The sequence below is a fragment of the Homo sapiens genome, chromosome 1 (genome assembly GCF_000001405.40).
Source record: "Homo sapiens chromosome 1, GRCh38.p14 Primary Assembly".
NCBI classification, from domain to species: domain Eukaryota; kingdom Metazoa; phylum Chordata; class Mammalia; order Primates; family Hominidae; genus Homo; species Homo sapiens.
The window spans coordinates 17,619,144-17,631,765 of record NC_000001.11 but is presented as its reverse complement, the minus strand read 5'-3'; the positions used below and the strand labels follow the sequence as shown (position 1 = coordinate 17,631,765).

Below are 12,622 nucleotides of genomic sequence, written 5' to 3'. Positions count from 1 at the left end.
TGACTATGAATTTCAAGATGACCATGGCAGAACATGAAAGCAAGCATGGGGCCCTTCTGGGCACCAGCCATGTATGATGGCACAGGTCATGTGTGATGGCACAGGTCACGTGTGATGACACGGGTCACGTGTGATGACACAGGTCATGGCCTGAGAGGCCGGCCCTGTATGTGTGCTCCATAGACAACTACTGTCTGTGATGGTCTTCACAGTGGAGCAGGCGTGGCCTTGTGCAGGGGACCCCATCCTGCACCCCAACCTGTTGAAAGCCTTGGCCTGTCTCGCCTCTTAGGTGGCCTCATGACAGAGTTGGAACAGACCTGCCAGTCAATAACACCACCCTCTGAGGACAAAGACTTTCACACCCCAGGCATCCAAGCAGGCATTTGCCAACCTCAGGCTGGATGTCAAGACCCCCCCTGCTAGTGTCAGGGCCACCAACCCATCCAGGGACACCCTGGGAAAACGTCTTTTTTCTAAAGGGGATTTTTTTCTGGGAGGGAGGGAGGATATTCAGCAAAATTCATTCCCAAAACCCGTGACTCTGACGACAACCATTACTCTCCCCTTCCTTCCCCATCCTGTCTGGGAAAAGGACAGATCACCCCGAGCCTCCCCGGGACATAAAAGGACAGATCACCCTGAGCCTCCCCAAAGAGAAAAAGACAGATCACCCCCAGGCAACCCCAGGACAGAAAAGGACAGATCACTCTGAGCCTCCCCAGAGAGAAAAAGATAGATCACCCCCGGGCATCCCCAGGACAGAAAAGGACAGATCACCCCGAGCATCCCCAGGAGAGAAAAGGACAGAACACCCTGAGCCTCCCCAGAGAGAAAAACACAGATCACCCCCAGGCATCCCCAGGAGAGAAAAGGACAGATCACCCCGAGCCTCCTCGGGAGAGAATGCTGTTGTTCTCCAAAGCATCATCTCTCTCAAGTCGGCACACAACCAAAAGTCCCAGTGGGACCAAATGCCCAGGGTGTGCCAGGCACTGAGGATGGCTCTTAATATTCCACATCTCATTGAATCAGCTCAGCGGTCCTTGAGGCCATCCCCATTGCCCAGGTGAGGAAACTGAGATTCCAGGGGTAAAGTGACTCGCTGAGACCCACCCACTGTTGATTGACAGCACAGGACAGAGCCAGGCCACGTTCACCATTCCCTGCATTGAGCAGCTAGTGCACAGTGTGACAGGAGCCAGGGGAGGCCCCACCGCTCCTAACATGCAGGAGGACTTGGGGTCCCCCACAGCTGCTAAGGCCAGGCTCCGCCTCACTATTTCCACAAGGAAACCAAACGCCAACTCAAGAGACCACTACTCGGACCTTGAAGACAGCAGGGCCCCCCGCCCCAAGGGCTGCCAAATGTGCCATGACCCAAAACTTGGAAGAGGAAAGTCCCGTGGGCTCTGGCAGTCAGCGCTGCCCCCTTGGCAGATGAAAACCAACAAAAAGAAAAAGAAAACCAGGATATTGCACAAACGGCCCTCTGGAGGCTCCTGCCTAGGCTATTTTGAAACAGCTGGCATGGTTCCGTTTCGGGTTACACCCAGTTTCGTTTCTGCTTCTCCCTGGGTGATGGTGATAGGGACATCACTAAACAGGTCACAGAACTGGCCAGGACTGTCCAGGGAGGGCCCTGGAGGGGGAAGCCCAGGGTGCGGCCTCCACCACACTCTTCCTAACATCTCACATGGTCCAACCTACCCTCACCCAGCAAATGGAGACATGGAAGCTTAGAGCCTCTAGTCCTTTGCCCAGCATCAAAGAGGTCTCCCTTACCTCCAGCCAGGGCCCACCTCACAGAGCAGGAGAGGGCAGAACGGCTCTTCCCAACCACTACGGAATTTATTTCCTCCTCCCAAGAGGCCTCTCCCCACTGTGGCTGCACAGGTGTATGAGGCAAAGCAAGAGAAAGCCTCTTGGTCACCGAAGAGGGAGCCGAAGGTGGGGAGAGGAGAAGATTCCTGAGCGCAAAGGCCAGCACGGGTGGTCATGGCGGGGCTGAAGGCTTTTTCTCCCGAGACATTCCAAACTCGAGGCTTGTGTGGGGGATGGCTGAGTTAGTCCTGCCTGGAACCAGGGGGTGGAGAGTGACCCTGCCCCTCATGCCCAACCTGAGCCACGTGGATGGGGACATCCCCAGGAGAGGGCGCTGTCCCCTCCCCATCTCGTCTTCCCCAGCCCAATCCTCCTGGAGCAGGTAAAATAAACTCAGATGCCTTAGGGGCTTGCAGGTAACATCAGTGGGAAAGGTGGGTAGGAACCAAGGGGAAGTGGGCAGCTGCCACTCGGGGGCTGGTGCCACGTGGGAAGGTGGGTCGGTGAGCCAGCTCTTCCTACCCTCCCAGGAGACCCACAAGTCTGAATTTTATAGGATCTCTCTCAATTTTTAAATGTTGGCAACTACTGCCATGTTCTTAAAACTACTGTGTGGGCCGGGCACCGTGGCTCATGCCTGTGATCCCAACACTTTGGGAGGCTGAGGCAGGAGGATCACTTGATCCCAGGAGTTTGAGACCAGCCTGGGCATCATAGTGAGACCCCATCTCTACAAAAAAAAAAAAAAAATTAATTAGCTGGGTGTGGTAGCTCGTGCTTGTAGTCCCAGCTACTCAAGAGGCTGAGGCAGGAGGCTCACTTGAGCCCAGGAGCTCAAGGCTGCAGTGAGCCGTTATTGTACCACTGTACTCCAGCCTGGGCAACAGCATGAGGCCCTGTCTCAAAATAAAATTAAATTAAATAGAATAAAATACTGTGTGGGCCACAACACAACCTGCAACCTGAATTTGGCCTGAAGCAACAGAGTCCTAAGATGTGGGTTGCCTGAAGCTTGGCACTGCAGGGGACCCTACAGGAGGCCTTGTCCCTGCCCCACTTCACAGGCATGGGGTGGAAAGCAAAGATGCTGATGCAGGTTAGACAGCATTCTATACTGTAAAGTGCAGCACACATGGAAAGGGCCACTCTCCCTCTGGGTACTCCTTCCTGGACTCTTAGAAAGGTCTACCCCGTGCTGCTGAAACCTCCCTCCTGGGAACAGCCAGCCATAGGCCTTAGTTCTGCTTCTAGGACCCCACAGAGCCAAGAGGCTCCCAGTTTATTCCCCAGAAAATTTGAACCTCTCCCTATGACCTCACACAGTATCCGTTCTCCAAAGAACAGTCCTGCAATGTGCCCAGGGCCTGGGCACCCCAGCCTAAACTATCCCAGCCCTCCCCTACCCTCCAGTAGGTGAACAGGGGGGCTGGGGTGTGGGACCTCCCAGAGACCCCAGCACAGAGCCAGGCAGTTCATGTCATGTGCTGAGAGGGAAGAAGAGGGACTCCAGTGACCAACAGGTGACTCTGTGAGGTGACCTTGTGCTTTAAAAACAGGCTCCTCTACAGACTCATTTGCAAGTCTTTTGGTTTTGTTTGGTTTTTTTCCTTTAGAGACAGAGTCTCCCTCTGTCACCCAGGCTGGAGTACAGTGGCACAATCTCGGTTCACTGCAACCTCTGCCTCCTGAATTCAAGTGATTCTCCTTCCTCAGCCTTCCGGGATTACAGGCGTGTGCCACCATGCCTGGCTAATTTTTATATTTTTAGTAGAGACAAGGTTTCACCATGTTGGCCAGGCTGGTCTCGAACTCCTGACCTCAGGTGATCTGCCTGCCTCAGCCTCCCAAAGTGCTGGGACTACAGGCGTGAGCTACCACGCCCAGCCCAATTTTCTTTTTTTTTTTTTAATAGCATGTTCCTAAGCGGCAACCCCAAAACATGGCATGGACTTTTCATCTTTCTTCTTGTGTTAAGGACAATCACGAAGCCACTTTGCCAGCTCCCTCTTTTGCGGCAGCAGCCCTAGGGCTCCGGTGCTATTAAATGCTCCTCATTTCAAAGGGAGCAAGTGAGGTTCAGAGAGGGTGGGTGATTCCCTTGAGGGCACACAGCAAGCACCTATGGCAAAATCTGGATCTAAACCCAGATTCTGACTCTCCAGAGCCTGTTCATTTAACTAGGCTTTGATTTCTGGAGACTTTACTGGAAATCACACTGATGCACAAAATGAACTTTTATCTTAAAATAACATGAACAGGAATGAACGTGGGGGTCCCGCTGAGGATCCAATCCCCAAGGTCACATCCTTGGAAGAGCAAGGCCTCCCCTCCCTCAGAGAACACTGCCACCTAGTGTGGGTGGCGTGGGGCAGGGGCACGGGCAGGAGCACAGGTGAGGGCAGGCAGGTGAGGGCAGGCAGGTGGGAGGCCCAGCTCACCTTGTTGAGGCTGCTGCGGTCACTGACGCTCTTGGTCAGCTGCTGGATCTCAGCCACCTGGTCAGCCAGCCGCTTCTGCTCGTTCAGCTTCTCAGCCAGCGTCTCCAGCTCTGTGAGGGCCAGCTGCAGCGACAGCCTGTCCGGATGGCCCCTGGGGGTGTTCTTCAGCATGTCCTGCCAGGTCAGAGCAGAGACTGAGCAGCCCACCCATGACCAACTCTACCCCAGCCTGGGGCAAAGCCTCACCCTGCGCAACCCCCTACACACACTGGGTCTGCAAAGGGCCCGGCCTGAGGCCAGGACAGATGGCACCAGATGCAGAACAAGACCTCAAGAAACAGCTAATGCATGAAAAAGAAAACAAAAGCATGGATCTTTCTAGGAATAGACCCACATGAACTGAAAGCGGGGTCTCAAACAGATATTTGTCCAGCCATGTTCATAGCAGCATTAGCCACAGTCGCCAAAATGTGGAGGCAAAAATGTCCGTCGACAGACTAACGCGTAAACAAAATGTGGTCTCTCCATACAATGGCGTATTATTCAGCCTTGAAAAGGAAGGAAATTCAGACACATGCTAGGACACGATGAATCTTGAAGACCTCATGTTAAGGAAAACAAGCCAGTCACGAAAAGAAAAACATTGTATGATTCCACGTATACGTGTTTTCCTAGAGCAGTCAGAGTCATAGAGACACAGGGTAGAATGGTGGTTGCCGGAGGCTGTGGGGAGGGAGAATCGGGAGTTGTTGAATGGGCAGAGTTTCGGTTCAGGATGATGAGAAAGTTCTGGGATGGGTGGTGGTGATGGTTGCAGAACAATGTGAATGCACTTAGAAATGGTTATGATGGTAAATAAATAAACTTATAGATCAATCACTGATCAATTGATAAATGGTATGGTTACATAAGAGCCCACTCCCACAGGCCAGCAGCACTGAGAGTGGATAGCAATGTGCCACCGGACCCCTCAGCCTGGTAGCCACCCTCTCAGCTCCCTGATGAGGGCCAGCCCCTGCCCAAGGACCCTCAGTGGTTGGGACAGTGTCCCAAGCTCTCCAGGACCCTGTGTGGGGCTAATGTCCCTTAGGAATCCCCTGTTCTGAAGCTCGAATCTGAAATGGCCAAGCTCAGCATGTTTACTGAGCATCTCCTCCATGCCAGGAGCCCTGCGGGTCCCGGGATTCCCTGTGCCTTCACTCCCTTCCTGCAACCCAGACTCAGGCCACCAGCAGTCCCTCAGCGTCCCCCACAGAGGGGCGTGCAAACTGAGCTGTCAGTTACAATCAATTTCACTCTAGAAGTGGAGAAAGATGAGGCCAGAGTCCCACAGCAGGTTGGGTGGGTTATGGATCACGGACAAGAGCCCAGACCTCCTCCCTCCTACCCCAGGAGGCACCTCCCAGCCCACAGGCAAACCCTGTGGGTTGAAGCTGCTGGAATCCTGAGCAGTACCTGAAGCAGGAGTATGAACTGTGGGAACCTCTGGATGGGCTTGACCATCAGCCCGTAGAGGGTGACACGGTCTGGGCTGCACACCTGCCGTCGCTGGTGGAGACAAGGTTCCGTCATTCGCTGACCCCCTGCAGAGAGGGCCCAGTGCCCCAGAGTCCAGACACTGTCCCCATTCTGGGCTCCTCTCCCCAGGCCCTAAGACCCTGCCTATCCCTGGGCTTGCAAGAAGAGCTGAGAGAGGTCCGTGGTTCTGCAGCCAGGGATCCCTCTCCCACCAGTGCCCCTGCATGGCCGCGCACCCTCAGGAGACTAAAGCAGTCATCTTAAGGTCTCTGAACTAAAGGCATAACTGGGAAACTCAGCAATTTATTCAAGATGTCAGACTTCTAGAAGTGGCCAAGGCAACCATTCCCTCCACTTAAACTAAATGCAGACAGATTTGGGCTAGGGTAAGGGGCGGGGCACAGGGGGACCTTCTGTCCTGTCTCTTGCATCCATCCCCCACTCCATCCACACACCTGTTACCTGGTCCTGGCCCCCATATGCTGCAATCCCACAGTTTCTCCACCTGCCTCCACTTCCATCTACCCTAGCTCAAAATCCTTCAATGGCTCCCCATTACCTGAAATATTACATCCTAGGCCCTGGGCCTGGAGGTCTAGAACCACCCAACTGAACTCAGCCGCCTCTTAGTGTGCACACTCAGGCCTTCTCTCCTGGGACTCCCCAACAGGCATCAGTGCTCCCAGAATCCAAACAGACCTGCCCATCCCTCTCCTCCTGCCTCTAACCTTTGCTCCACTATCCTTACACCTGATATAGGCTCTCCTCTGTCTTTATTTGGCACAATCCCACCATCCCCCGCCAGGGCCCATGTCAGATGGTGGCTCCTCCTGATCCCCTGTTCTCTTTGATGGGGACAGTGGGTTCCTCCACTGAGGCCGTGGCATCTAACCTGTGCTGCCGGCACATGTGTGCGTGTCCTGGCACCTAGCCCAGTTGCATCCTCTGCCAGCCAGCAGGCTCCCTACAGGCAGGGGCTCTGACTCACCAGACTACACTCCCAAAGAAATCAGCAGAGGCTGGGCACATGAGAACTCAGAAGCTTTTCGAAGCCTTTAACCTTTACTCTCCCAAGCAATGCCCAAGATACCCCTATAAGGAATTTCCTCACCCTTTTATAAATGAGGAAAAGGAACCAGCTTAGCAACCCGGGAGCCACAGCCCACCACAGGGCCAGCCAGGCAGACCCACCCACTCACCAGGGCACAGGAGGCAAAGGGTCAGCAAGATGACACAGGTCTTCCCTCCACCCTGCCAAAGCTCCAGGATCCCAGTTGCTTACAGACACTTGGCTACGCTCCTCCCAGGGGCAGGAGGGAACGATTTTCTTCCCATGGGACTGGGCTGCCCCAAAAGAAAGAGGGGAGCTGTCCAGGCCAAAGCTATGATGTCATACCCAAAGCTGGGGCCAAAATGCTCCCTTCCTCCTGAGCAATCTCCCTGCCCACCCTGACCAGGCACGGTACCACCATGGAGGCCCACCTTGAGGAACTCGAGGAAGGCAGGCTTGGTGAGGCAGGCCTTCTTGATGATGGACATGGCACTGGTGAAGTTGTTCACGTAGTCACTGTACACATCTAGCACCATGGACTTGGAAAACTGAAACAAGGCAGGTGTGGGCCAGGGAGACCGCCTCAATGCAGGGAGCAGAAGGAAACGAGGCAGGTGTGGGCCAGGGAGGCCGCCTCAAGGCAGGGAGCAGAAGGGCGCCTGCACTCACCCCACACTCCCTTGGGACCTCGAGCTGTGCAAATCCATCACCCCCACTGGGGTGTGGACATGGAGCTCAGAGAGGTAGAGAGGCTGGCCTGAGGTCACAGGTGGGATGGGGTGGTGCCACAGGAGAGCCCAGGGGACCTTCGCCTCCCAGGTCTCCATCCCCAGTGCAGCAGCCCAAGCCCACAGGTGGAGGGAGGAGAAGGGCAGGGGGAACACCCCTTCTACTGCATTCACGTTCAGGAAATCGAATGCCCCTTGCCCTCCACCTTTAAGGAAAGTGCTCCTGGCCTCTCACCGGGCAGCGTGCCCAGAGTTGAGTTACCAAGGGAGGGATGGTCGGCCTGGAGTCAATCAACTCTCTCTCCAGAGCCCCTTGATATACACCCAGAACATCAGACCTATTCAGTGACTCTATCGAGCGCTGTGGCTTTCAAAAAAAAGTTTTTTTCTTTTAGCAAAACCTAGTTACCTAAAACACATCAAAGTAGAGTGCTACCAACTTGACCTTCCCTCACCCCATGAACATCTGGGGTCCGCAGACTTCAGCTAGAAAAGCCAGAAATCCAGTGCACCCCTCATTCCACAGATGGCAAGCCTGGGCTCAGAGTGGGCCCTGGACCTGCCCTAGGTTGCAGAACTGAGCTGGGACCAGAACCAGGTCCCCCGGATCGTGAGCCAGTGCCCTTTCCCCAGCACTGCGGCACATCCTCTCCGGGCCAAAGTTGTGGTCTTTCACAGCATTTCACACTGGCTTGAAACCCCTCAAGTGCTCGGTAAGAGAGCTTGTGACCGGCCAGGTGGCTGCCCACAGTGACTGGGAGGCCAGGGGGTGCTGCCACCTGGGAGGAGCCAGGACAGCCACCTGGCTTCATCAGCACCATGGCCTGCCAGGTATATCCAAGGACATCCTGGCCACTTCAAGGTGTCACACTCACCCCTAGATCAGGCCCAGAAGACCCTGCCACCCTCTAATCCCACTGACTTGAACAAGGCAAGCAGGCAGAGGCAGGAGGCTGGACTGCATGGCCCCGGGGTCAGACTGGTTGTGGTTTTACCTTGGTGGGCTGGGGAAAAAGTTTGGGGACACTTACCGAGGCCACGAAGAGGTCCCCGATCTTCTCGGTGGAATCCCACTCAGCCACGCGGGAGGACAGGGCGATCTGGAACATGGAGTGGCAGTGCAGGATCTCCTTCACGCGGAAGAACACCACCTGGCACTTGCGGGCGCTCAGCGCCTTGGGCTCCATCTCCATCAGGGGGTTGCGGTAGTCCTGCCGGGGAGGGCGGGGTGAGGCCGCAGGCCAGGCCGCAGCCTCTCTCCCTACCTGCCCTCATGCAGAACTCGGCCAGCCATGAATGGGCCTTCCCGTGGCACGGAGGGGAGGCACTCATCCCTCACTCCTCATGCGTCCTTCCGGAAGGATCTCCATCACCATAACACCCCTGGCCTCACTGGCCACACACAACACCCCCATGCTTCTGTGTTAATTGGTCGGGAGGAAGAGGGTCTTTTATGCGCCATCTGCCTGCAAGGAGCTCCTTGGAGGCCGGCCTGAGGGCGAAGCTCTGCCTGTCACTGAGCCCACGAGCGGTAAGGTCACTACAAGCTCCCTTGGCTCCCACACCCCGCGTCACTCTCCAATTAGCTTTGTCAGAGACAGGTGATATATTCATCTCTACCTGCCTGATGCCTAGGATCCCTCTCTGAGGATCCAAACTCAAGAGGGGAAGAGAGGGTATCATTAGCAACAATTCCCCACCCTGGTGGCCTTACTCTGGTAGCCCACAACCGCCCGGAAAAGTCACTGTCTCAGGGATTCAAACACTGTCTCAGGGATTCTCAGGTTGGCACATACTAGTCACTTCATGCAAGCATCTGCTCAGCAACCCCTGGGCCTCCTGATGCAAAAAAGAGGACTCGATCCTACTCCTCTCGATGCAAGAAGGAGGACTCCATCCTACACATCTTCCCAACTAAGGATCCCAGGAGGATGGGAAGACATGGCCCAAGCCCCAGGGGCTTCCAGAGTGGCAGGAGGACACAGTGCCTTCCAGTCATAAATGGGAGTATATGCCCTCAGCTCTCCAGGAGTCATTTCAAAGAATCCCATTTTGTTCACAAAGAAGTCACTCCCGTGAACACCAGGGCATCAGGAATTCTTGCTGCCTACATTTGGAGGTTCTACTGTCCCCATAAAGCAGTGCTGGCTTATGGTCCTGTCCCCTTAAAACTGCCCACAGTCCCCAAACACTCCGTATAAAGTTACCCTCCAGGGCCCTCCCTGCTTCTCCCCAGAGACCCTTGAGAACTCCCTGAAGTCGCACCTGGAGTATCCGCTTCAGAGACTCCACGTAGCTGCCTTCGCTCTGCACGATGGAGCCCAGGATATGCCTCCGGACCACCTGCTCGGGCCAAAAAGCACGGTCAGCGCACATGACACCTGCTGCACAGGGCCCAAGTGACAGGAAGGGGAGCTGACAACTATAGGACAGAGAAACCCATCCCTCCCAGGTCCCACCTGGGACCACTGGGCCTGGTGGCCACTCTTCCTTCCAGAGCCCCTGCCAACCCTAAATAAATGCCCTGCTGCCTGGCTACAGAATGGAGGAGGAAGGGCACATCCCAGGGAAAGCCCCTCTGTGCACATACATCTGGGGATGGGGTAATCACCACGCTCCTCCATGGTGGCGGGTGACCACCTCCATCTTTGGACAACTCTAATAGAAAATCCTAGGCCAGGCAAGGTGGCTCATGCTTGTAATCCCAGCACTTTGGGAGGCAGAGATGGGCAAATCACCTGAAGTCAGGAGTTCGAAACCAGCCTGGCCAACATGGTGAAACCCTGTCTCTAGTAAAAATACAAAAATCAGCTGGGCGTGGTGGCACGCGCCTATAGTCCCAGCTACTTTGGAGGCTGAAGCAAGAGAATTGCTGGAACCTGGGAGGCAGAGGTTGCAGTGGGCCAAGATCGCGCCACTGCACTCCAGCCTGGGCAACAGAGCAAGACTCCATCTCAAAAAAAAAGAAAAGAAAATTCTGTCTTAGCATTAGCATGAACCGAATCTCAGCTCCCTTCACTTGCGAATGAAATCCTTGAGCTATCCCTCTTCCACAAGACAGGCCTTGGGGTACCGTCCCCCCACACGAGTGGTCTCTGCTTCTGGCTAAACATCCCCAGTCCCTTCTCCTTTCCCTTCCACCATCACCGTAACCCTCCAGAAGCCTGGCCCACGGAGTGGATCACAACCCCTCAGCTGCAGCCTGCAGTACCCCGTCGAGCATGGTGTGGCTTGCACCTCCCTCAGCTGAGGATCTTTCCAACACAGTCACCTGGCTCCCACCCCAGACCTTCTGAAGTTCTACCGTCCTCTGAACAAGGTGGAACCTGGATACCAGGGACTTTGAAATCTTCCCAGGTGGCTCTATTGTGCAGCAAAGTTAGGACGCTGCTCACAGGAGGTGTCACATGTGACAGGGGTCTGAAGGGGAGCCCATCCCTCTCGATCTCGGGTTGGGAGGTGACTGACCCCCTACTCTACCCCCACAGCTGTCCTGAGCGTCCATCAGGAGCCCACCACCACCAGAACCCCGGCTCCCTGCCCTACTCCCTCTGCTGCCTCCTCCTGCCTCCAGCAGGCTCTTCTCCCATCTTCCCACTGCCCTGCCTGCAGCCAGGCCTGGCCATGGCCTGGCCACACAGTCCCAGCAGATGGCAAGACCACTGTCCCATTGTTGATCCATTGTCAACAATCCCCAGGTACTCAAGTGGCACCCAGAGCAGAGCACAAGGACATCTGGGGCCAAGTAACTCCCCATAGTGGGGCTGTCCCGTGCCTCGTAGGATGTTCAGCAGCTTCCCTGGTCTCTACCCACCATCCTACAACACATCCTGCTCAGTGGCCTCACAGCCAGAGGAATCAGGGATCTCGCACCCTGTTTCATGGCTGGCAAAACACAGATAGCGAAGGGACAACATGACTGGGCTGAGATCCCAGAGCAAAGCTGCCCGACCTCAGCACGATGCTCTACAAGAAGGAAGCCATTTTTTTTTTTTTTTTTTGAGACAGAGTCTCACTCGCTGTGTCACCAGGCTGGAGTGCAGTGGCGCGATCTCGGCTCACTGCAACCTCTGCCTCCCAGGTTCAAGTGATTCTCCTGCCTCAGCCTCCCGAATAGCTGAGACTACAAGCGTGTACCACCATGCACATCTAATTTTTTTTGTTTGTTTTTTGTATTTTTAGTAGAGATGGGGTTTCACCATGTTGGCCAGGATGGTCTCGAACTCCTGACCTCAGCTGACCCACCGGCTTCACCCTCCCAAAGTGCTGGGGTTACAGGCATGAGCCACCGCACCCAGCCAAGGAAGCCATTCTTAAAGAGCCTCAGTTCCTGGTGGGAGCTTGTGGCAGCTCTGAGGCCCAGGGTGAGGACAGGTGGACAGATGGCAGGGACTGGGCACCTACACACCTGCAGCCTCACCTGAGTCTGGATCCCATCTCATTCTTCAAATGACACCTTAGTCAGAAACAGCCAACGGGACTGCTCTGCATGCCATGGAGTTGGGGGACGCAAGCGTTCTAGATGCCGGGAGCCCACCCCCCAAAACCAACAGCACAGAGCACACGGGGTAGAAAGTGGAAAGCCTGTTCAATAGCTGAGGAGAGAACCTAGGAGGCCCCTATCCAGCTGGGCTCTGCCAAGAGCCCCCAGTCATCATATCCCCTGTGAGATCCAGACAAGCGTGGCCCCAGAGAACAGGCTGGAACCCCCAAGCCACCCCTTCCCCTGCAGACCCCCACCTGCCCCACTCCCCCACAGACCTGCTGAGGGCTCAGGCCCTCTGGCATGGGGCCCAGCTCTGGGGCTGGGGGCTTGATGTCCGAAACGCTGACCTCCAGGAGCCCCATGTCCTCCTCCTCCGAGTCACCTGGAAAGTCAGATGGGCCGATGACACAGCTAAGGCAGGGACAGCACACCCTGCTCAGGCCTCAGGAGCTGAGAGCCCCCCTAGACCAGCCTTGGACCCAGGTCCTAGGGTGCAAGCAGCTCCTGGGGCCCCGTGGGGTTAGAGCCGCCCGGTAGCTCCTTCTCAGGAGTTCCCTGCTACGTCCCAGGGCCTGGA

General features: G+C 55.6%; 1 protein-coding gene across 43 annotated transcripts in view, besides 2 other annotated features; it reads right to left on the bottom strand.

The window, feature by feature from the left end:
• ARHGEF10L (Rho guanine nucleotide exchange factor 10 like) overlaps positions 1-12,622 on the bottom strand; it is a 184,441-nt gene that overhangs the window by 66,110 nt on the left and 105,709 nt on the right. For 22 of the 43 annotated variants that reach the window (NR_137287.2, NR_137288.2, XM_047424111.1 and 19 more), the window contains 6 exons: positions 12,321-12,427; positions 9,825-9,902; positions 8,591-8,770; positions 7,263-7,379; positions 5,718-5,810; positions 4,263-4,436 (listed from right to left, as the gene is read on the bottom strand). Coding sequence is in view for 39 of the 43 variants with exons in the window: in XM_047424111.1 (XP_047280067.1) it covers positions 4,263-4,436; positions 5,718-5,810; positions 7,263-7,379; positions 8,591-8,770; positions 9,825-9,902; positions 12,321-12,427 (749 nt within the window). In the remaining 4 variants the exon portion in view is untranslated. Of the gene's footprint in view, positions 1-4,262; positions 4,437-5,717; positions 5,811-7,262; positions 7,380-8,590; positions 8,771-9,824; positions 9,903-12,320; positions 12,437-12,622 lie in introns of all 43 variants that reach the window. The other 21 variants (XR_946686.4, XR_946691.3, XM_024448061.2 and 18 more) reach the window with 2 other exon arrangements.
• Positions 971-1,622: an enhancer, noted in NCBI's record as "H3K27ac hESC enhancer chr1:17956639-17957290 (GRCh37/hg19 assembly coordinates)". NCBI's record gives its function as "activates a minimal SCP1, AML or CMV promoter by ChIP-STARR-seq in primed H9 embryonic stem cells {active_cell/tissue: H9 hESC(primed)}" and the evidence as "EXISTENCE:reporter gene assay evidence [ECO:0000049][PMID:30033119]".
• Positions 1,623-2,276: an enhancer, noted in NCBI's record as "H3K27ac-H3K4me1 hESC enhancer chr1:17955985-17956638 (GRCh37/hg19 assembly coordinates)". NCBI's record gives its function as "activates a minimal SCP1, AML or CMV promoter by ChIP-STARR-seq in primed H9 embryonic stem cells {active_cell/tissue: H9 hESC(primed)}" and the evidence as "EXISTENCE:reporter gene assay evidence [ECO:0000049][PMID:30033119]".